At 46.9% G+C, this 21,373-nt stretch overlaps 1 protein-coding gene across 6 annotated transcripts in view, besides 5 other annotated features; it reads right to left on the reverse strand.

The window, feature by feature from the left end:
* Window positions 1,472-1,521: an enhancer, noted in NCBI's record as "active region_17505". NCBI's record gives its function as "activates an Ori minimal core promoter by ATAC-STARR-seq in GM12878 lymphoblastoid cells {active_cell/tissue: GM12878}" and the evidence as "EXISTENCE:reporter gene assay evidence [ECO:0000049][PMID:35858748]".
* The window catches only part of TMEM230 (transmembrane protein 230), a 53,961-nt gene continuing 36,249 nt past the window's right edge, over window positions 3,662-21,373 (reverse strand). For 3 of the 6 annotated variants that reach the window (XR_002958479.2, XR_002958476.2, XR_002958484.2), the window contains 3 exons: window positions 13,733-13,895; window positions 12,513-12,805; window positions 11,460-11,915 (listed from right to left, as the gene is read on the reverse strand). Coding sequence is in view for 1 of the 6 variants with exons in the window: in NM_001330987.2 (NP_001317916.1) it covers window positions 13,734-13,895 (162 nt within the window). In the remaining 5 variants the exon portion in view is untranslated. Of the gene's footprint in view, window positions 3,958-11,459; window positions 11,916-12,512; window positions 13,896-21,373 lie in introns of those variants that run through there. The other 3 variants (XR_007067454.1, XR_002958478.2, NM_001330987.2) reach the window with 3 other exon arrangements.
* Window positions 5,339-6,538: an enhancer, noted in NCBI's record as "P300/CBP strongly-dependent group 1 enhancer chr20:5041439-5042638 (GRCh37/hg19 assembly coordinates)". NCBI's record gives its function as "activates an origin of replication core promoter dependent on BRD2, BRD4, P300/CBP, MED14 and CDK7 cofactors, with strong dependence on P300/CBP, by STARR-seq in HCT116 cells {active_cell/tissue: HCT116}" and the evidence as "EXISTENCE:reporter gene assay evidence [ECO:0000049][PMID:35650434]".
* Window positions 10,423-10,923: an enhancer, noted in NCBI's record as "H3K4me1 hESC enhancer chr20:5046523-5047023 (GRCh37/hg19 assembly coordinates)". NCBI's record gives its function as "activates a minimal SCP1, AML or CMV promoter by ChIP-STARR-seq in naive H9 embryonic stem cells {active_cell/tissue: H9 hESC(naive)}" and the evidence as "EXISTENCE:reporter gene assay evidence [ECO:0000049][PMID:30033119]".
* Window positions 17,533-18,052: an enhancer, noted in NCBI's record as "H3K27ac-H3K4me1 hESC enhancer chr20:5053633-5054152 (GRCh37/hg19 assembly coordinates)". NCBI's record gives its function as "activates a minimal SCP1, AML or CMV promoter by ChIP-STARR-seq in naive H9 embryonic stem cells {active_cell/tissue: H9 hESC(naive)}" and the evidence as "EXISTENCE:reporter gene assay evidence [ECO:0000049][PMID:30033119]".
* Window positions 18,053-18,571: an enhancer, noted in NCBI's record as "H3K27ac-H3K4me1 hESC enhancer chr20:5054153-5054671 (GRCh37/hg19 assembly coordinates)". NCBI's record gives its function as "activates a minimal SCP1, AML or CMV promoter by ChIP-STARR-seq in naive H9 embryonic stem cells {active_cell/tissue: H9 hESC(naive)}" and the evidence as "EXISTENCE:reporter gene assay evidence [ECO:0000049][PMID:30033119]".

Genomic DNA, 21,373 nt, shown 5'->3' on the forward strand with positions numbered 1-21,373 from the left:
AGATGTCAAAAGTGCTGAAAGGAGGCTGGGAAAACTGGTTGGCTCCTGTCTGGGGCAGGCAGCTGATAGAGGAAATTAGCTGGTTCCTATAATTGGCACTGTAGCTCCCAATGAAGAGAGGGCAGACAGATTTAAATGAGCTGTTTTTGGGAGGAGGTGGGGAAGGAAAGGAGAGATGATTTGGGTGGAGAGCATACATGAAGATGTAGGGGAGGCTGGACGCAGTGGCTCACAACTGTAATGCCAGCACTTTGGGAGGCCAAGGCAGGCAGATCACCTGAGGTCAGGAGTTTGAGACCAGCCTGGCCAACATGGTGAAACCTCGTGTCTACTAAAAATACAAAAAAATCGGACCAGCCTGGCCAACATGGTGAAACCCTGTCTCTGCTAAAAATTAGCTGGGTATGGTGGTTCACACCTATAATTTCAGCTACTCGGGAAGCTGAGGCAGGATAATCAGTTGGATCTGGGAGGTGGAAGTTGTGGTGAGCCGAGATCACATCACTGCACTCCAGCCTGGATGATAGAGTGAGACTCCATCTCAAAAAAAAAAAAAAAAAAAAAAGATGTAGTGGATGTTGTTGGTGCCATCCAGATCCTGTTCATCTGCTGTCTCAGTCAGCTCAAGCTACCAAAAAGTACCACTAGCTTTGGCTTAAACAACAGAAATGTGTTTTCTCATAGCTCTGGTGGCTAGAAGTCCAAGATCAAGGCACGTGCAGGATGGGTTTCTTCTGAGTCTCTCTCTTTGGCTTGCAGATGGCCATAGTCTCTCTGTGTCCTCAAATGGTCTTTCTTCTGTGCATATGTATTCCTGGTGTCTCTCTGTGTGTCCTAATTCCTCTTCTTATAAGGATATCAGTCAGACTGGATTAGGGGCCAACCTAACAGCCTCATTTTAAGTTAATTACCTCTTTAAAGGCGCTGTCGGCCGGGCGCGGTGGCTCATGCCTGTAATCCCAGCACTTTGGGAGGCCGAGGTGGGTGTATCACGAGGTCAGGAGATCGAGACCATCCTGGCTAACATGATGAAACCCCGTCTCTACTAAAAATACAAAAAATTAGCTGGGCGTGATGGCGAGCATCTGTAGCCCCAGCTACTCCGGAGGCTGAGGCAGGAGAATGGCCTGAACCCGGGAAGTGGAGCTTGCGGTGAGCCGACATCGCGCCACTGCACTCCAGCCTGGGCGACAGAGAGAGACTCCGTCTCAAAAACAAAACAAAACAAACAACAACAAAAAAAAGGCTCTGTCTCCAAATAGAGTCACATTCTGAGGTACTGGAGGTTAGGGTTTCCACATATGACATTTTGGAGGACACAATTAAGCTCATACAGCTGCCTGGTGCATCTTTCCCCCAGCTGCAGGGAGTGATGGTTGATAATGACTCACAACTGCCCCATTTTCTAGAGAGTTATTTTTGGCCAACAGGGGTCGCCTTGTCTGGGAGGTTACTCACCCCCAGCAGCCTGCAAACAGTGCTGTGTGACTCTGTTGTATAAAGGCTGGTCCTCTTGCCCCAGGGTGAGACCAACACTGTGGTGCTATTCATACTTCTGAGCTCTCTGTGGGATCATGCTAAGGCTAGATTCTAGATGAAAACCACATCTTTGCTCAGCTTCTTCCTCTGTCACATGTGGCTTCCCTCACTTCCTTCTCATGGGAGCACTCCCCGAAGACATCACGTGCAGCTGAATCCCCGCCTCAGGCTCTGCTTCTAGGGAGCCTGACTTACAACATTGTTATCTTTTTTTTTGACACAGGGTCTTGCTATGTCACCCAGGCTAGACTGCAGTGGCATTATCAATGAAAAAAATGGAGGAAATGTTTATCAAATTGTAAATGACTCTAAGCTTGAAGGAACAATCAGTATGTGAGATAATAATGGCTAGGCACGGTGGCTCACACCTGTAATCCTAGCACTTTGAGAGGCCAAGGCAGGAGGATTGTTTAAGACCAGCCTGGGCAACATAGTGAGACACTGTCTCTAAAAAAAAAAAAGAGAGAGAGATGATAACACCAAGTAGGGTTTAGGGCAATCTCTGTGATCCAGAATGATGGACTGAACAAGTAAAATCAAATTTAACAGGGATATGTGAAAAAGCCTATATTCAGATTCACTTAATTATTTTATTTTATTTTATTTTTTTGAAATGGAGTCTTGCTCTTATTGCCCAGGCTGGAGTGCAATGGCGCAATCTTGGCTCACTGCAACCTCTGCCTCCCAGGTTCAAGCAGTTCTCCTGCCTCAGCCTCCCGAGTAGCTGGGATTACAGGTGTGCATCACCATGCCCAGCTAATTTTTTGTATTTTTAGTAGAGACAGGGTTTCACCAGGCTGGCCAGCCTAGTCTTGAACTCCTGAGTGATCTGCCCGCCTCAGCCTCCCAAAGTGCTGGGATTACAGGCATGAGCCACCGCACCCGGCCTTTTATTTAAATCTTTTAAGTCAACCTGCCTGACTCTTCTATTAGAAAGCATGCATGGCCCATCCCTTGAGAAATGCCCCCACTTTCCCCCTCCCCCCTCCTTTTTATTTTTTGAGACAGAGTCTCACTTTGTCACCCAGGCTGGAGCACAGTGGCCTGATCTCGGCTCACTGCAACCTCCGCCTCCTGGGTTTAAGCAATTCTCCTGCCTCAGCCTCCTGAGTAGCTGGGACTACAGGCACCTACCACCACATTCAACTAATTTTTGTATTTTTAGTAGACAGGGTTTCGCTCTGTTGGCCAGGCTGGTCTCGAACTCCTGATCTCAAGTGATCTGTCCCCCTTGGCCTCCCAAAGTGCTGGGATTATAGGTATGAGCCACTGTGCCTGGCGTCCCCTGTTATTTCTGATCCCTCCTTTGGATAGGTACACCCTCCTCCAGGTCCTACATCCTCTCTCCAGGGCTGGACTAGGAGGGTCTTCAGGAAGATGAGGAAGGAGACGCAGAGGACCTAGGAAAGAAAAATCCCTTCATGACTGAGTAGGCCCCACCAGCCTACTTTGTCCCTCTCCTATTTACTGCCCTCTTTCTCCTCACAGGGAGCCGGACCATTCCTCACCCAAGAGTCTACCTGTGGGGAGGTATGCAAGACAGTCCTCTTCTGCAGAGAACTGCCAGTTTGGGTTTTCCTTTAAACTTTAAAGGAATTTGACTTTCACCCTTCCGGCACCTACAGACCCACCATGGTCACTCATGGTCAACTATCTTTTCTTAGAGAGAACATGTTTAAAACTAGGTATGTGGGTATATTCATCAAAGGGAAAATTAGCTGGGCATGGTGTCGCACACCTGTAGTCCCAGCTACTCAGGAGGCTGAGGCTGAGGTGGGATGACAAGGTTGAGCCCAGGAGTTTGAGACCAGCCTGGGCAACATAGTGAGACCCAGTCTTTATGAAAATGAAATAAAATAAATTAGCTGGGCATGATGGTACATGCCTGTAGTGGTAGCTACTCTGGAAGCTGAGGCGGAAAGGATTGCTTGAGCCCAGGAGTTCTGGGTGACAGAGCAGGACCTTATCTTTAAAAATAATAGTAATAAGAATACAATTTACAAGAAGGAGAAAATAAACCTGGAGCTCAAGCCCTCATGAAACAGTGTACTTGAAAAAACAAAGGCTCTATTTTAGTAAGTATAGGTTAGGTAATGCTACAAAAACAAACAAATCCAAAATCTAAGTGGCTCAAAACTACATGTTTTATTTTTGTTTTCTTTCTTTTATTTTCTATTTATTTTTTTTTGAGACAGGTTTTGTTCTGTTGCCCAGACTGGAGTGCAGTGGTGTGATCATGGCTCACTACAGCTTCCACCTCCCAGCCTCTGTCATTCAGATACCCCAACCCCAGTTCTCCTTTATGGAAGTAATCAGGCTTACCAATTTCCTGTGTCTCCTTCCAAAAAAAATTCTCAACAACAAATACACATTTATATACATGAGTCTGTTGTATATAGCACATGTTGTATATAGTACCTAGAAAAATGCAAAAAAAACTTGTATGTAAGGTTTAAAAAATAACTCATTAATACCCAGTTGAAGGAATAGAAGTGAGAAGATCCCTCCCCAAAGCCCCTGTCTGTGCCTCCCTGAACATAGCCAGCTTATTCCTAAACATGCTCATGATTCTGACTTTAGTGATAGCCATATCCTTGCCTTTATTTTATCCTTGCCTTTATTTTATTTTTGTTTTTGAGAGAGTGTCTCAGTGTTGCCCAGGCTGGAGTGCAGTGGCTTGATCATGGCTCACTGCAGCCTCAACCCCCACTCAGGGATCCTCCCACTCAGCCTCCAGAGTAGCTGGGACCATAGCACCACTTCCAGCTAATTTTTTTTTTTTTTTTTTTTTTTTTTTTTTGAGACAGAGTCTCGCTCTGTCGCCCAGGCTGGATGGAGTACAGTGGTGCAACCTCGGCTCGCTGCAACCTCCGCCTCCTAGTTTCAAGCAGTTCTCCTGCGTCAGCCTCCTGAGTAGCCAGGCAACCACTACCATGCCTGGCTAATTTTTGTATTTTTAGTAAAGATGGGGTTTCACCATGTTGGCCAGACTGGTCTCAAACTCCTGACCTGAGGTAATCCACCCGCCTTGGCCTCCCAAAGTGCTGGGATTACAGGCATGAGCTACTGCTCCCAGCCAGCTAATGTTTTTAATCTTCTGTAGTGATGACTTCTTGCTATATTGTTCAGGCTAGTCTTGAACTTCTGGCCTCAAACAATCCTCCCGCCTTGGCCTCCCACAATGCTGGGATTACAGGCATGAAACACTGCACCCAGCCCTGTTACCTTACCTTTTAAAAAAGAATAGTTTTAGCACCTGTGTACACATCCCCAAATAATATAGGTTCTTCTATTTTTGAAATGTATGGACTGGAATCATATGTTATACAGTGTATTGTCTTTTTTTTTTTTTTTTTTTTTTGAGATGGAGTCTTGCTCTGTCACCCAGGCTGGAGTGCAGTGGCACAATTTCAGCTCACTGCAACCTCCACCTCCCAGGTTCAAGCAATTCTTCTGCCTCAGCCTCCTGAGTAGCTGGGATTACGGGAATAGACCACGACGCCCAGCTAGTTTTTGTATTTTCAGTAGAGGCAGGATTTCACCCGGTTAGCCAGGCTGGTCTCAAACTCCTGAGCTCAAGTGATCTGCCTGCCTCAACCTCCCAAAGTGCTGGGATCACAGGTGTGAGCCACTGTGCCTGGCCCACTGTATTGTCTTTTGTGTCTTGTCTTTCTCAGTTAACATTTTGTTTCTCAGATTCATCCACATATAGTTAGAGTTTTGTCATTTCCATTATTGTGTAGTATTTCATTATGAATATACCGTAATTTATCAATTTTCCTTTTGGGGGACATTTGAGTTTTCAACTTGGGGCTATTACATGCAGTACTTCTATCCATGGGTCTTGGTGCACATGTGCATGAGAAGGATTCCTGGGTTATAGAGTGTGTCTTCAGTTTTACTGATAATACCAGATAGTTTTCCAAAGCCATATTAGTTTATGTTCTCACTAGTAGTATAAAAATGTTCGCATTCTCTCTACCTTTGTCAAATCTTGGCATTGTCAGAGTATATGATTATTGATTATTGTAAACACATGGGAGTGTAGTATACAGTTTATTCTCCAAACTTGCCTTTTAAAAAACACAATACAGCCTGGAATTTATGCTATCAAAAATATGAAGACATTCATTTGTATGCTTGTATAACATATTATGATATCAATACCTTACTTTTTCCCTCCTCTTTCTTGAATAATGCATCATTTTCAACATAGACTTGTAGGGCAAAGATGGCACATTATTCACAGCTCATTTCTCTGCCTGTGGCAGACATTACTAATTGATCACAACACTCTTTGCCACTGAGTGCAGATGTAGCCTCAGATCCCTTTCAATGCAGTGCTCTAGTACCTTGCTACTCAAAATGTAGTTTCCGAACTGGCAGCATCAGCATTACCTGGGAGTCTGTGAGAAATGCAGAATCTCAGACCCACCCCAAACTCCCTGAGTCACATCCTGCATTCTCAGGTGATTCACCACAAGGAAGGCTGGGAAGTGCTAGCCTAGGCTGCCCTTATCAATCAATCAAAGCCATTCTATGGGATGAATGTGTGTGTCCTCCCTATTTCAGAGGCACACTACATGGCTCTGTCCTTGCTCCTGTCCTTTTCCAAGCGCTTATCTATGCATTGTATGAGAACATAGGTCATAGGCTGATCTGATTTGCTGACAGTAAGAATCTCAGGGGAAAGCTGAAACACTGGATTGGGGAATCATGATACAAACCCACTGAGAGGATGGAGCAAAGGACCAATTTCAACAATTGGCTAAATAAAGTTCAACCAAAAAAAAGACTTCACAGGAGTATACTTGAAAATAGGGCATTAGGGGGTTCACAGCATCTGTTCCGGAACAGGTACCTGGTGTTCTTAAGAGGGTTCTATTACAGATTAGTTTGGGAAGCACCACTGTGCTTTTTCCTCCTCTTAGAAAGTCCATTTATAGGCCAGGCGTGGTGGCTCATGCCTGTAATCCCAGCACTTTGAGAGGCCGAGGCGGGCAGATCACCTGAGGTCAGGAGTTCAAGAACAGCCTGGCCAACATGGTGAAACCCCATCTCTATAAAAATACAAAAAAATTAGCCAGGCATGATGGCGGGTGCCTGTAATCCCAGCTACTCAGGAGGCTGTGGTGAGAGAATCGCTTGAGCCTAGGAGGCAGAGGTTACAGTGAGCCGAGATCGCACCATTGCACCCCAGCCTAGGCAACAAAAGTGAAACTCCGTCTCAAAAAAAAGAAAAAAAAAAAGCCATTTATGTGGCTGGGTGTGGAGGCTCACACCTGTAATCCCAGCACACTGGGAGGCAGAGGTGGGAGAATTACTTGAGCCCAGGAGTTCAAGACCAGCCTGGACAACACAGTGAGACTCTGTCTCAATTAAAAAAAAAAAAAAAAGTCAATTTATGCACTAGAAAATACAGAGACCTGGATGCCCATGGTAAAGAAGTAAATTTCTCTTTGTTTAAATCAGTAGTCCTAGGTCGAGCACAGTGGCTCACACCTGTAATCCCAGCACTTTGAAAGGCCAAGGCAGGCCAATTGCTTGAGTTCAGGAGTTTAAGACCAGACTAGGCAACATGGCGAAACCCTGTCTCTACTAAAAACAAAAATACAAAAAATTAGCTGTGTGTGGTGGTGCATGCTTGTAGTCCCAGCTACTCAGGAGGCTGAGGTGAGAGGATCACTTGAGCCCGGGAGTTCAAGGCTGCAGTGAGCCCTGACAGTGCCACTGCATTCCAGCCTGGGAAACAGAGTGAGACCCTGTCATAAATAATAAATAAATAAATAAATAATCAGCAGTCCCTAAACAGAACTGTATATTACCTATTGATATCTACAGAGCTGGTATTCTATGGAATACAATGTGGGAAACACTGGCTTGGGGCTTTGGTTTATAGACTGAGCTATGAAGAAGACAATACTAGCTTTGAAGCACATAAAGAGAAGTATAGTCTCCAGGGACAGAGAGAGGAGATGCTCTGCTCCCTGCATTCTGAGCACCATATTGCCTTCATAAGTTACGAGGGAGGGACATTGAGAGACTCCAGTGTCTTCAGAGATGGACTCCAGGACAGTGAAGCCTCACCACGGCTGTCCTACTGTGAATGTCTAACTTAGAGCAGTTTTTCCTATCCTGTCTCAACGCAGTAACTGGGGAGGAGGAAGGGAGGCTGGTGGATCTGAGTGCTTAAGAAGGCCCCAGAGGACCAAAAGTCTCCAGGGGAGGACTGCATAATCCTCCTCCATCCCCCTCAACAGGAATCACTAAGTAGCTGCTATGAATTTTTTTTTTTTTTTTTTTTTTTTTTTTGAGATGGAGTCTCGCTCTGTCACCCAGGCTGGAGTGCAATGGCGTGATCTCATCTCACTGCAACTTCTGCCTCCCAGTTTCAAGCAATTCTCCTGCCTCAGCCTACTGAGTAGCTGGGATTACAGGGGTGCACCACCGCACCTGGCTAACTTTTGTATTTTTTGGTGGAGATGGGGTTTCACCATATTGGCTGGGCTGGTCTCGAACTTCTGACCTCAAGTGGTCTGCCCACCTCGGCCTCCCAGAGTGCTGGGATTAGAGGTGTGAGCCACCATGGCCGGCCTGCTATGAAATACTTAATGGCACATCCTGTGGAAAAGGAACTAAGCTTTCTTTGAGGGGGATCGGAGAACAGACCTGAGACAGGTGGATTAAAGTTACAGAAAAGTGAAAAGTCATACAAGCTGCATATACATACAGATGTACACATACATGTGTATTCTCTGACCATGATGAAATAGAATTTATAACAAAAATCCAAAAAATTATCCCAAAATTTGTTAACTTGGAAAAATTTCTAAATGATTCTTGGTTCCAAGGGGAAATAAAAACACAAATTACAACCTAGAAATAAAACATAATTAGAGAGCTACATGTCAAAATCTGGAAAATGTGGCCAAAGTGGTACTTAGGAAAATGCATACCCACAGGCTCACAGATAACGAAACAAGAAAGACTGGCTGGGAGTGGTGGTGCGCATCTGTAATCCCAGCACTTTGAGAGGCTGAAAGCAGGTGGATCACCTGAGGTCAGGAGTTCGAGACCAGCCTGGCCAATATGGTGAAACCCTGTCTCTACTAAAAATACAAAAATTAGACAGGTGTGGTAGCGCACACCTGTAGTCCCAGCTACTCGGGAGGCTGAGGCAGGAGAATCACTTGAACCCAGGAGGCGGAGGTTGCAGTGTGCTGAGATTGCACCACTACACTCCAGCCTGGGCAACAGAACAAGACTCCATCTCAAAAACAACAAAAACAAAAACATTATCAGGCCGGGTGCAGTGGCTCACGCCTGTAATCCCAGCACTTTGGGAGGCCGAGGCAGGTGGATCACCTGAGTTCGAGAGTTCAAGACCAGCCTGACCAACATGGAGAAACCCCATCTCTATTAAAAACACAAAATTAGCTGGGTGTGGTGGGGCGTGGGTGTAATCCCAGCTACTTGGGAGGCTAAGGAAGGAGAATCGCTTGAACCCAGGAGGTGGAGGTTGCGGTGAGCCAAGATCACGCCATTGCACTCCAGCCTGGGCAACAAGAGCGAAACTCCGTCTCAAAATAAAAAAAGACTGACATTAAGTAAATTAAATTTTCTACCTAGGAGGCTGACAAGTGAATAGCAAAATAAGTCCAAAGGAAGTATAAGCAAAAATTACTAAAGATGAAAACAAAAATAAATCAAATGAAAACAAAACTCAATAATAAATTTTATCAAACCAAATGCTAATTCAATGAAGGAAAAATAATAAAATGGACATTTTTGAAAAAGGTGATCAAAGAAAAAAAAGAGTTGAAAACAAAGATAGCATTTGTAGTAAGAAAGAAAACCAAAGTACAGATACTTGTACAGATTAAAAAAATACCAGGGGCTAGGCGTGGTGGCTCATGCCTGTAATCCCAGCACTTTGGGAGACCAAGGTGGGAAGATCACTTGAGCTTAGGAGTTTGAGACCAGCCTGGGCCAACAAAGTGAGATCTCATCTCTATTAAAAAAACAAAAACCAAAAAGATATCTTTTTTTTTCCATGAATGAAATGCAAATATCCAATAAGCACATGAAAAGATGAAAAATATAGGAAGGCAGGTTTAGTCTCATTATAAAGACTAACTTCCTCAGCCAGGTGTGGTGGCTCTCACCTGTGATCCCAGCACTTTGGGAGGCCGAGGTGGGAAAGATCACCTGAGCTCGAGTTTGAGAACAGCCTAGGCAACATGGCAAGACCCCATCTCTCAAAAAAAAAAAGATTAACTTCCCAATGCATTGAAATAACCCATGAGTATCATGAACTCTGTCACAAGGAAGGGACACCAGAGGCTCAGATGTTGGCTGAGAGGTGACCAATTGTCAGGAGCAGGGGCACTGGTGATCTTAGGGGATGGGAACAGAGAAATCTCTGTTTCTGTGATTTCCATGATCCATTTCCCTGAGCTGCTTGTTTTCACCAATGGTCCTTGTTGTTATGGGCAGCAAAGTCCCTCTAATGATCTCTTTGAGGCTAGCCAGCAGGGGAGAAGTGGCTGTGAGTGGGGCCTATTTTCCTGGCTTGCAGGAAGCCAGGGGGCCAGAGCAGAGGCCCCCTACTGCCCTTCACTCCTCACTACCACCAGCTTCCCAGGTGTCCTGGACGCATGTGGGATGCCTCTGAGATAACCGGGTTAAGGCCAGGGCCTGTCTAACGCCTGGGCTCTGGAGCAGGACCCGGGTTCTGTGGGAGCTCATATGAAGGACAGGAAGTGACCAGTCCACAGACTGGACCAAAGGTCTGTGACTCACTGGTTGTATGTAGTAGGGATCACGCCCCTGCCATGCCAAACACCAAAACTGTAGGTCAGATTGGAGTTGTACTGGAGTAATACCATGACGAGGAGTGGGCTGCACTGGAGACCCCCGTCCCTGGAATGACCGGGGAAGCAGGGGCTGATGTGAGGAAGGGTGGAGAGGGGCTGCGGTGATGGCGAAGGAGGCCACAAGTTCCCGGTTTTGGCATGCTGCTCAGGCCTTCGCCTCCCCATGCTGGCTGTATTCTACCCGCACACCCATATTGGCCCAGACTGGGAAACCTCACAGCTTTGCTAAGTCATGGTCAGGTTAGTCAAGGCCAGTAAACCACGTGGGTGATGCATCATTGCCACCCTGGCACGCCTCCTTCCAGACCAGGCTGGGACTGGCTCTCCACATCCCAGGGCCTGGCCTTGGGCTTCTCTGCCAGCTGGTCAGGGTGAGTCACTCTTCTTTGGAGGATGCTGCCTTCCTCTAATGTTGGACATGAAGGGCTTTTTTGTCCTCCTAGAGTTCTGGAGCATCCCAGAAAAGGCAAAACTAGGGAGCAGAGGAAAGAGAACATTTTTTAAAAAACAAAAATGTTGCCTGGGCGCGGTGGCTCACGCCTGTAATCCCAGCACTTTGGGAGGCTGAGGTGTGAGGATCATCTGAAGTCAGGAGTTTGAGACCAGCCTGGCCAACATGGTGAAACCCCGTTTCTACTAAAAGTACAAAAAAATTAGCTGGGTGTGGTGGCGTATGCCTGTAGTCCCAGCTACTTGGGAGGCTGAAGCAGGAGAATAGCTTGAACCCGGGGGGCAGAGGTTGCAGTGAGATTGTGCCACTGCACTCCAGCCTGGGCGATAGAGCGAGAGAGACTCTGTCTCAAAAAAAAAAAAAAAAAAATCAAAACCCCAAACATACCCAAGGACCCTCCTCCTGGTTATTCACACCTGTGATTAACGAGGTCACACCTTGACTGTCCCTTGGGTCAGACAGAACTTCGCTGACCCGGGTTCATGCTCATCATCCCTCACAGGCAGGAGGGTGTTCATCCCCTCACTCACCTGTTTCCAGTCTCTGGCCCCCACCCCTGGGGTCCTCAGCTGCCAATCCACATACATCCAAGCCCCTGTTTAAGCTTTTAATTGCTCCCACTGACTTCAAAATGAAGCAATATTCCACCGTCTTAGCTTGGGTTTACGTAAAAGTAGATTTCAGGTATGGATAGTTTCTTTGGAAAGGACTCCAAGTAGTGGAGAAGTGAGAAACGGCGCAGGGCGGAAAGCCAAGGAAAGGTGCATTGAAGTGCAGATGATCACTGCGGGCACCAGGCTCAGTCCTGCAGGGATCCTCTGCAGAGCTGGGTAAAAGATGCTTCAGAATTATCCGGTGAGGGGGGAAAACAGGTGGGCAGTTACTCACTGATTCCTGGCACTCATTGGTTGAGGGTTGTCCTCAGGAAAATAAAGCCCCAGTATGTCCAGGCTACTCTACACAGGCTGAGCAAGTCTCAGTGGTGCTGGAGAAACCCGTGTGGTTTCTGCAGTGGGAACATGTCAGGTGTCCTGGAACTGCCCACCACGCTGCAGATGAATATGCCACAATGTCAACAGTGTTTAGGCTCATATATATATATATATATATATATATATATATATATATATATATATATATTTTAAGACAGTCTTGCTCTGTCACCCAGGCTGGAGTGCAATGGTGCCATCTTGGCTCACCACAACCTCCACCTCCTGGGTTCAAGCGATTCTCCTGCCTCAGCCTCCCGAGTAGCTGGGACTACAAGTGCGTGCCACCACACCCGGCTAATTTTTGTATTTTTAGTAGAGGCAGGGTTTCACTATGTTGGCCAGGCTGGTCTCGAACTCCCGACCTCATGATCCACCTACCTCAACCTCCCAAAGTTCTGGGATTAAGGCATGAGCCACCACACCCGGCCTCCCCACCCAGCCCCCCTCTGCTTTTTTTTTTTTTTTAAGACAGAGTCTCACTCTGTTGCCCAGGCTGAAGTACAGTGGCACAGTCATGACTCACTACAACCTCCGCCTCCTGTGCTCAAGTGATCCTCCCACCTCAGCCTCCAGAGTAGCTGGGAGTACAGGCATGCACCACCAGACCTGGCTATTTTTAAAATTTTTTTGTAGAGACAAGAGATGGAGTCTCACCGTTATCCAGGCTGGTCTCAAATTCCTGGGCTCAAGCAATCTGCCCACCTTAGCCTCCCAAAGTGCTGGGATTACAGGTGTGAGTCACTGCGCTCAGCCTCAGGCTCCTCTTTCTTGCTTCACCATCCATTATCAAGGTCGTTCTCTTCAAGTTTGCAAGGCACACTGCAGTTCCACATCCAGGTCCCAGGCAGGTGGAAAGGTAAAAGAATGTCTTGCAGCTGATATTGCAGCTGTTCCCGTTTTAAGGCGTTTTCTCCAACAACTTCCACCTGTGTTCCATTGGTCAGAACCTAGCCACATGACCATACCTAGTTAGAAGGCATGCTGGAAAACGTAGCTTTTCTATTAATGGCTGTGCGTATTAGTCTGTTCTCACACTGCTATGAAGAAATATCCGAGATTAGGTAATTTATAAAGAAAAGAAGTTTAATTGACTCACAGTTCTGCATTGCCAGGGAGGCCTCAGGAAACTTACAATCATGGTGGAAGGCAAAGGAGAAGCAGGCACCTTCTTCACAGCGCACCAGGACAGAGTGAGTGCAAGCAGGGGAAATGCCAGATGCTTATAAAACCATCAGATCTCATGAGAGTCACTCACTATCACAAGAACAGCTTGGGGGAAACCACCCCATGATCCAATTACCTCCACCTAGTACCTCCTTTGATACATGGGAATTACAGGGATTACAATTCAAAGTGAGATTCGGGTGGGGACACAGAGCCAAATCATATCACCATGTTAGGCCAAGATTATCCAGCGGTTTTATTACTCATCCAGCTAAGGTTCAGTGGTTCTATTACTAAAGAAAAAGGGGAGAATGGATGTAGTACTGGGCATCCAGCCATCTGTACCACCCTGCAGTCCCTTTGTGAGAATATGAGCATCCCAGTCTCTTCAGCATCGCTCTCAGTACCAAGGATGGTATGAAGGGGACAGGAATCCTCCTACCCTCAGGAACAGAGGTGGGGCCATGGGGAGTGGTCTGCGCCATTCTCACCATTCACAAGAGGAGTTGCATAGGGGGTAGAGGGCAGCTGGAATTCCTTTGGCCTGCTCCTCTAGGCATATGGAACATTCCCTCCACATATCCTGCTCTTAGTAGGAGAAGCTCTCTGCTGCATTTTACAATCAGTCATTTTCATGCTGACGTACTTATTCCTAGGACATTTTCAGTTTAGCCCTTTTAAGATGCTTATCTCAAATTAGAGGCACCAACCTCAGTCAGGTGATGACACCTGTGTTCCTCTTCCTTCTGGAAGCCTTGAGCTGAGTCCTCCTTCGGGACTCCTCCCACTGATGCCTCCCATCATGTACCCACGGGATGCTGGTAGATGTTTGTGGTCAGCTTTCTTTTGTTCCCGTGAGGTGGATTCGAGACTCTGAGAAAGAAACACCCCTTCTCAATTCCACCACAAGTTCTGCCTCTTCAACCCTCAAAAAATCCTAATTGTCAAGAAATCACATCTTATGCATTTTGGTGCTCCACAACACTTCCTGAAGGCCTGTGTGAGGCAGGAGCTCAAGATCTACTTGTTCACTGCATGGTTGTTTGTGATCTGTCACTCAGTGAGTGACCAAGGGAAACTACCTCTGAAGAGAGCAGACACCGACATTTCCTTCCCTCCCCGTAGATGAATGCTGCAATGCATTTCAAGGGGTAGAGTCTAAGTCCCTTTCCTTTCCTTTCCTCTCCCCTTTCCTTTCTTTCCTCTCCCCTTCCCTTCCCTTCCCTTTCCTTTTCCTTTCCTTTTTCCTTTGTGAGACAGTCTCCCTCTGTTACCTAGGCTGGAGTGCAGTGGCACCATCTCGGCTCACTGCAACCTCCGCCTCCAGGGTTCAAGTGATTCTTGTGCCTCAGCCACCCAGGTGGCTGGGATTACATGCATGCACCACCACATCTGGCTAATGTTTGTATTTTTAGGAGAGACGGGGTTTCACCATGTTGGCCAGACTGGTCTTGAACTCCTGGCCTCAAGTGATCTGCCTGCCTCGACCTCCCAAAGTGCTGGGATTACAGGTGTGAGCCACTGCGCCCAGCAAATTCCCTTTTCTTTGAATTGGGGCTGACCTTAGTGACTTAAGAGTGGAAGGGACATCTTGTGTCTTCCCGGGCATGGAGTTAAGAAGCCTTACGGGTCTCATCTAGCTCTCTTGGAACTTTGCTCTCGAGACACTCCTTCTCAGACCCCAGCCCCCATGCTAAGTGGACTCCTGAGCCACCTGGAAAGGCCGTGCATCAACTCTCCAGTTGATTGTCCCAGCTGAGTTCTCAGCAGACAATTAGCATCACCTACCGGCCACATAAATGAGCCATCTTGTATTTGCATCCAGTTGAGTCTTGCGCTAACTGTAGCACTAACCAATATCTAACAACAATCACCTAAGAGATCCCACATGAAAACTGCTGAGCTGAGCCCAGTGAACTCGCAGAACCATAAGACACAAAAATCAATTGTCCAGTGATGAAGTGTTGGGGCCATTTGTAATGCAGAAATAGATAACCGGAAGAGTGACTAAGCCAGGAAGAGAACCTGGAAGAAGTTGTCTTGATCACCGAGGAGTCTTACTGGTGAGAAAGCACTGCCCAGCTGACCTACTCTGCCATATTCCTGATCCAGATGCGCAAAGGGCTGTGGTAGGTGACAGGTGGCCTCCTTTCACCACAATGGTTCCACTAATTCAAGTGTAAGTGAAAGCAGTATTTAATTATTGAGAGGGTGAAGACCTAACAAATATTTGCATAAAAGAATTTTTGTTTACCCTTTGCAAATAACCTGGCAGATTTTGCTTGTTGGTTGGTTCTTTATTTTGCTTTTGAGACAAGATCTCACTGTTGCTCAGGCTGGAGTACAGCGGTGCGATTAAGGCTCACTATAGCCTTGACCTGTTGCACTCAAGCGATCCTCTCACCTCAGCCTCCCAAATAGCACAGCACCACTCCTGATTAACTTTTTTTTTGGTTGCTCTGAAACAAATGTGGCACAATAAAAGAAATTGGCTTCCCAGAAGATGTATAGAATCTTCTGTTTACTTGTTCATTTTTCCTTATTTTCTAGGAGTGAACAATGCCCCATTTCCAGGTGAATGGCAATGGAGTAGTTGTCCGAGGGTACTCAATACTCAAGAGTCAGCTGATCATGTCCTTAGATGCACCAGAAATGATGGTAAAGCTTGGGAGTGCGGATACCTTTGATTCTAATTATTAGCGAATGCCTCAGCTCAGCATCACTGGGCTATATGGGGCCTAAAGCAGGGCAGAGCCAATCAAGAACACTCAAAGACAGACAGATGCAGAACTGGGAATGGACGTGTAGGGACGGGAAGCTGGAGAAAGATGGGAGCATGAATATGCATGTAAGGGTACATAGATTTGGCCGGGCATGGTGGCTCACACCTGTAATCCCAGCACTTTGGGAGGCCGAGGCAGGCAGATCACCTCAGGTCAGGAATTCGAGACCAGCCTGGCCAACAAGGAGACACCCCGTCTCTACTAAAAATACAAAATTAGTCAGGCATGGTGGCGATGCCTGTAATCCCAGCTACTTGGGAGGCCAAGGCAGGAGAATCGCTTGAACCCGGACGGCGGAGGTTGCAGTGAGCCAAGATCGCGCCATTGCACTCCAGCCTGGGTAACAAGAGCGAAACTCCGTCTCAAAAAAAAAAAAAAACAAAAAGGGTACATAGATTTATAGTTATAGTGATACGTATATAGCAAGGTGAATACAGACATTAATATGTGCATTTAGAGAAAGATATACAGGACGTAGAAAAATGTCTTCTTTTATTTTTTGAGACAGTCTCACTCTGTCACCCAGGCTGGAGTGTAGTGGTGTGATCTCAGCTCACTGCAACTTCTGCCTCCTGGGTTCAAGTGATTCTCATGCCTCAGCCTCCAAGTAGCTGCGATTACAGGTGTGTGCCACCACGCTGCCACCACACCCAGCTAATTTTTGTATTTTTAGTAGAGATGGGGTTTCACCATGTTGGTCAAGCTGGTCTTGAATGCCTGGCCTCAAGTGATCCACCTGCCTCAGCCTCCCAAAGTGCTGAGATTACAGGTGTGAGCCACTGCGCCCAGCCTTTTTTGAGTTTTTGTTGAAGATAGGGTCTCACTCTGTCGCCCAGGCTGGAGTGCAGTGGCACCATCATGGCTCACTGCAACCTTGACCTCCTAGGTTCAGGTGATCCTCCCACCTCAGCCGGCTGAGTAGCCAGGACTATAGGCATGCACCACCATGCCTGGCTGATTTTTGTATTTTTTTGTAGAAATGGGGCCTCACTGTGTGGTCCAGGCTAGTGTTGAACTCCTGGCCTCAAGCGATCTTCCCACCTCAGCCTCCACAGTAGCTGGGATTACAAACAAGCATGAGCCTCCATACTCAGCCCCTTTCGAATCAAGTAGTTCTTGGCGAGTTTGCAGGACCATAGTTCCCTGTCCATGGTGATGGTTCCAGGGAAGGATAGCCACCCATGTTGGCCAAGAAGAACTCTCCCCGGCATCTTTCTACCTGGAGCTGGTAGGAAAGAGTGTTTTTTTCCTTTTTGGCCGTGAGACTATAAGAACATGAACTTGAAGTTTCCTGAAGATCTAGTTCCAGCCGGGCATGGTGGCTCACGCCTGTAATCCCAGCACTTTGGGAGGCTGAGGTGGGCGGATCACCTGAGGTCGGGAGTTCGAGACCAGCCTGACCAATATGGTGAAACCCTGTCTCTACTAAAAATACAAAAATTAGACTTGCGTGATGGCCGGCACATGTAGTCCCAGCTACACGGGAGGCTGAGGCAAGAGAATTGCTTGAACCTGGGAGGCGGAGGTTGCAGTGAGCCGAGATCACGCCATTGCACTCCAGCCTGGAAGACAGAGCGAGACTCCACCTCAAAAAAAAAAAAAAAAAAAAAAAAAAAGATCAGTTCCAACTTCTCTGTGGAGACTGATGACTTGAGAAACAGGAGCCAAACAGCACAGTAACTTAGTCTGGATTCCCCAGAAATAGACTCTGAAGTGAGGATTCATGTACAAGAGATTATGAAGGAGGTGCTTCCAGGGGAAACAGTAAGGGAATGAAGGAGGCAGGTCAGGGAAAAGGAGAAAACTGAGCTAGGGTGGCATTTCATGTGAGGTTCCAGTCTCAGTCTTGTCCCTTGGGAAGCTGTGGGGTGTCAATTATGCCTCAGGGTTATCCTTCTTCAAAGCAAGAGATCTGGACTTTCTTCCTCCCACACTATCACCCTGGTAAATATAAAATCCCAGCGCTTACACAACAGCTCCAAAAACTCCAGAAAGACTCTCCTGAACGTCACAGGTGTGGGAAAGAACCAGGAAGGTTCTGAAGGTGGGGCACACAAAGACAATGAGAGAGAATGTGGACACAGGGAGCCCTAGTTGAAGCAGCCTGGAGGTTCTGCATTTTTCCTGCCCTGGGGCTTGGCTTTGGTGGCTCACACTGAGGGAACTTCACTGTGTATCCTGGCTTGGTGCCACTGGCTGGGACTCCAGGGTGTGGTCAGAGCTGCTGGAGGGCAGGACCAGAGCCAGGGCCTGGCTGAGGCCTGGCACCAGGGACTGTACAGGCGAGGCTGCCTGGGCCCTGGATGAAGAGCAGTGATGTGAGGTGCCAGCTCAGACGCCAGAGATAGGAAAGCCCAAAGGCTAGCCTAAGGCTTGGGTAGTGGGAGTTGATGCAACAAAGTGGGGGAGACTGAACAACGGCTTCCTCTCTCTTCCTTTCACTCTTAGACTGTCCTCCTTGAAGGGAATCAGATTATGCCACCCCAAAATATGCCACATTGGCACAAGAATTATTTTGAGCTGAAGCCAATTAAGAAATAGCAGACACCGGAAGAACTCTCTGCCTGTGTTACTGTGTTTGCAGGAATACCTGAAGCTGGGAATTTATAAAGAATAGAGGTGTATTTGGCTCACAGTTCTGCAAGCTCTACAGGAAGCATGGCATCAGCCAGGGCTCAGCTTCTGGTGAGGACTCAGGGAGCTGCCACTCATGGTGGAAGGTGAAGCAGGAGCAGGCATGTCACATGGTGGGAACAAGCAAGGCGGGGGAGGGGCCACACTTTTGCACAACCAGATCTTGCCTGAACTCAGAGCAAGAGCTCACTCATTACCATGAGATGGCACCAAGCCATTTATGGGGGATCTGCCCCCATGACCCGAACACCTCCCACCAGGCCCCTCCTCCAACACTGGGGATCACACTTCAACATGAGATTTGAAGGGGGCACACATCCAAACCATATCACTGCCCCTCCCATTTCTGCCTAAAAGCAGAACATAAATTTCCATTTGTAAGGGTGTCTTTCTCTCCCTACCAGGAAGAGTAGAATAACGCTTAATCACCATTATCACTGGAGATGGTACCAAGATGAATCTGCGTAAATGAACCTTACTAGATACCCCTTATCTAACCTATCTATAGTTTCCCCCTTATATTTACTTTCCCACAGTTTACAACCCCTAGAAGCCCAAACCCATTTTTCTTTGTCTAGTTACCTCTCCACAATTTGTCACCCTTTGTTAAAATGATATAAACTCTCAGGCCTAACCACTGCTTTAGGTTTCACTTCTTTTCTGTGAAGTCCCTGTGTAAACACAAAATAAAACTTTCCTCCTGTCAATCTGTCTTTTGACAGTTTAACTCTCAGGCCCAGCTATAGAATTTAAGAGTAGAGGAGACCGGGCATGGTGGTACATGCTTGTAATCCCTGCACTTTGGGAGGCCAAGGCAGGCGAATCACTTGAGCTAAGGAGTTTGAGACCAGCCTGGGCAACATAGTGAGATCCTGTCTCTATAGAAAAATAAAAATAATGAAAACATTTTATTGCCTTTTAAAAAAAATTTTATTTTTATTACTTTTTAAAATAAAGACAGGCCTTGCTATGCTGCCCAGGTTTGTTTTGAACTCCTGGCCTCAAGCGATTCTTCCGCCTTGGCCTCCCAAAGTGCTGGGATTATAGGCATAAACCACCACACCTAGCCATAAATTTAATGTTATATGTTTTTTTACCACAATAAAAAAGGCATACAGAATGTAGGTATATACATTTATCTAAGTGCATCAACCTGTATAGTTAAAGTGGTACTTTTTTTTTTTTTTTTGAGACAAAATTTCACTCTTGTTGCCCAGGCTGGAGTGCAATGGCACGATCTCGGCTCACTGCAACCTCTACCTCCCGGGTTCAAGTGATTCTCCTGCCTCAGCCTCCTGAGTAGCTGGGATTATAGGCATACGCCACCAGGCCTGGCTAATTTTGTATTTTTAGTAGAGATGGCGTTTCTCTATGTTGATCAGGCTGGTCTCGAACTCCTGACCTTAGGTGATCCACCCGTCTCGGCCTCCCAAAGTGCTGGGATTACAGGCGTAAGCCACCGCGCCCGGCCTAAAATGGTACATTTTATGGAACACAGATAGTACTCCAGTAAAGCTGATTTAAAAGAATAAAATAAAACTAAAAAGAGGCCAGGCGCGGTGGCTCATGCCTATAATCCCAGCACTTTGGGAGGCTGAGGGTGGATGGATCACCTGAAGTCAGGAGTTTGAGACCAGCCTGGCCAACATGGTTAAACCCCATCTCTACTAAAAATACAAAAATTAGCCGGGCTTGGTGGCACACGCCTATAATCCCAGCTACTCGGGAGGATGAAGCAGGAGAATCTCTTGAACCCGTGAGGCAGAAGTTGCAGTGAGCTGAGATCGCACCACTTCACTCCAGCCTGGGCGAAAGAGAGAAACTTCGCCTCAAAAATAATAATCATAATAAATAAATAAAAATAATCTTTTTCCTATAGGGGCCCAACCTCATGACATCCTATGAAATCATGTTTTGCAATTGCTGTCAAGGTTTCTAACAATGAGACCAGGTTTAGTGGCTTACACTTGGAGGCCGAGGCAGGCAGATCACTTGAGTCCAGGAGTTTGAGACCAGCCTGGGCCACATAGCAAAACACTGTCTCTACAAAAATATATATACAAAAATTAGCTGGGCGTGGTGGTGCGCACCTGTGGTACTAGCTACTTGTGGGGCTGAGGTGGGAGGGTCGCTTGAGCTTGGGAGGTGGAGGTTGCAGTGAATTGAGATAGTGTCACTGCACTCCAACCTGGGCAACAGAGCAAGACCCTGTCTAAAAAAAAAAAAAATTGCAGCAATAGCTCAAGCACCCAAGTCCTTCACTGGACAGGAAGTGTCCTAAGGGTACTTTCTATGGTCTGGTTGTTATTGTGCCCCAGAGGATGATGTGATGCAGTGACTTGAGAGGCAAGCATTAAATGTTGTTGGCTGGGCATGGTAGCTCACGCCTGTAATCCAGCACTTTGGGAGGCCAAGGCAGGCGGATCATCTGAGGTCAGGAGTTCGAGACCATCCTGGCCAACATGGCGAAACCCCGTCTCTACTAAAAATACAAAAAATTACCCAGGCATGGTGGCGGGCGCCTGTAATCCCAGCTACTCGGGAGGCTGAGGCAGGAGAATCACTTGCACCCATGAGGTGGAGGTTGCAGTGAGCTGAGAGCGCGCCACTGCACTCCAGCCTGGCTGAAAGTGAGACTCTATCTCAAAAAAATAAATAAAATGAAATAAATAAATATCGTTGAATGGATGGACTCACCAATTTGTATTTGTCTGTTATGTAACAGGCATCTATGTATATTCTCTGTGTATACTTTGCCTGTTTATATTCTTGGATTGATATTCTTTTTTTTTTTTTTTTTTTGAGACAGAGTCTTGCTTTGTTGCCCAGGCTGGAGTGCAGTGGTACAGTCTTGGCTCACTGCAACCTCTGCCTCCTGGGTTCAAGCGATTCTCCTGCCTCAGCCTCCAGAGTAGCTGGGATTACAGGCAAGCG

The sequence above is a fragment of the Homo sapiens genome, chromosome 20, assembly GCF_000001405.40.
Source record: "Homo sapiens chromosome 20, GRCh38.p14 Primary Assembly".
In the NCBI taxonomy this organism is placed as follows: Eukaryota; Metazoa; Chordata; class Mammalia; order Primates; family Hominidae; genus Homo; species Homo sapiens.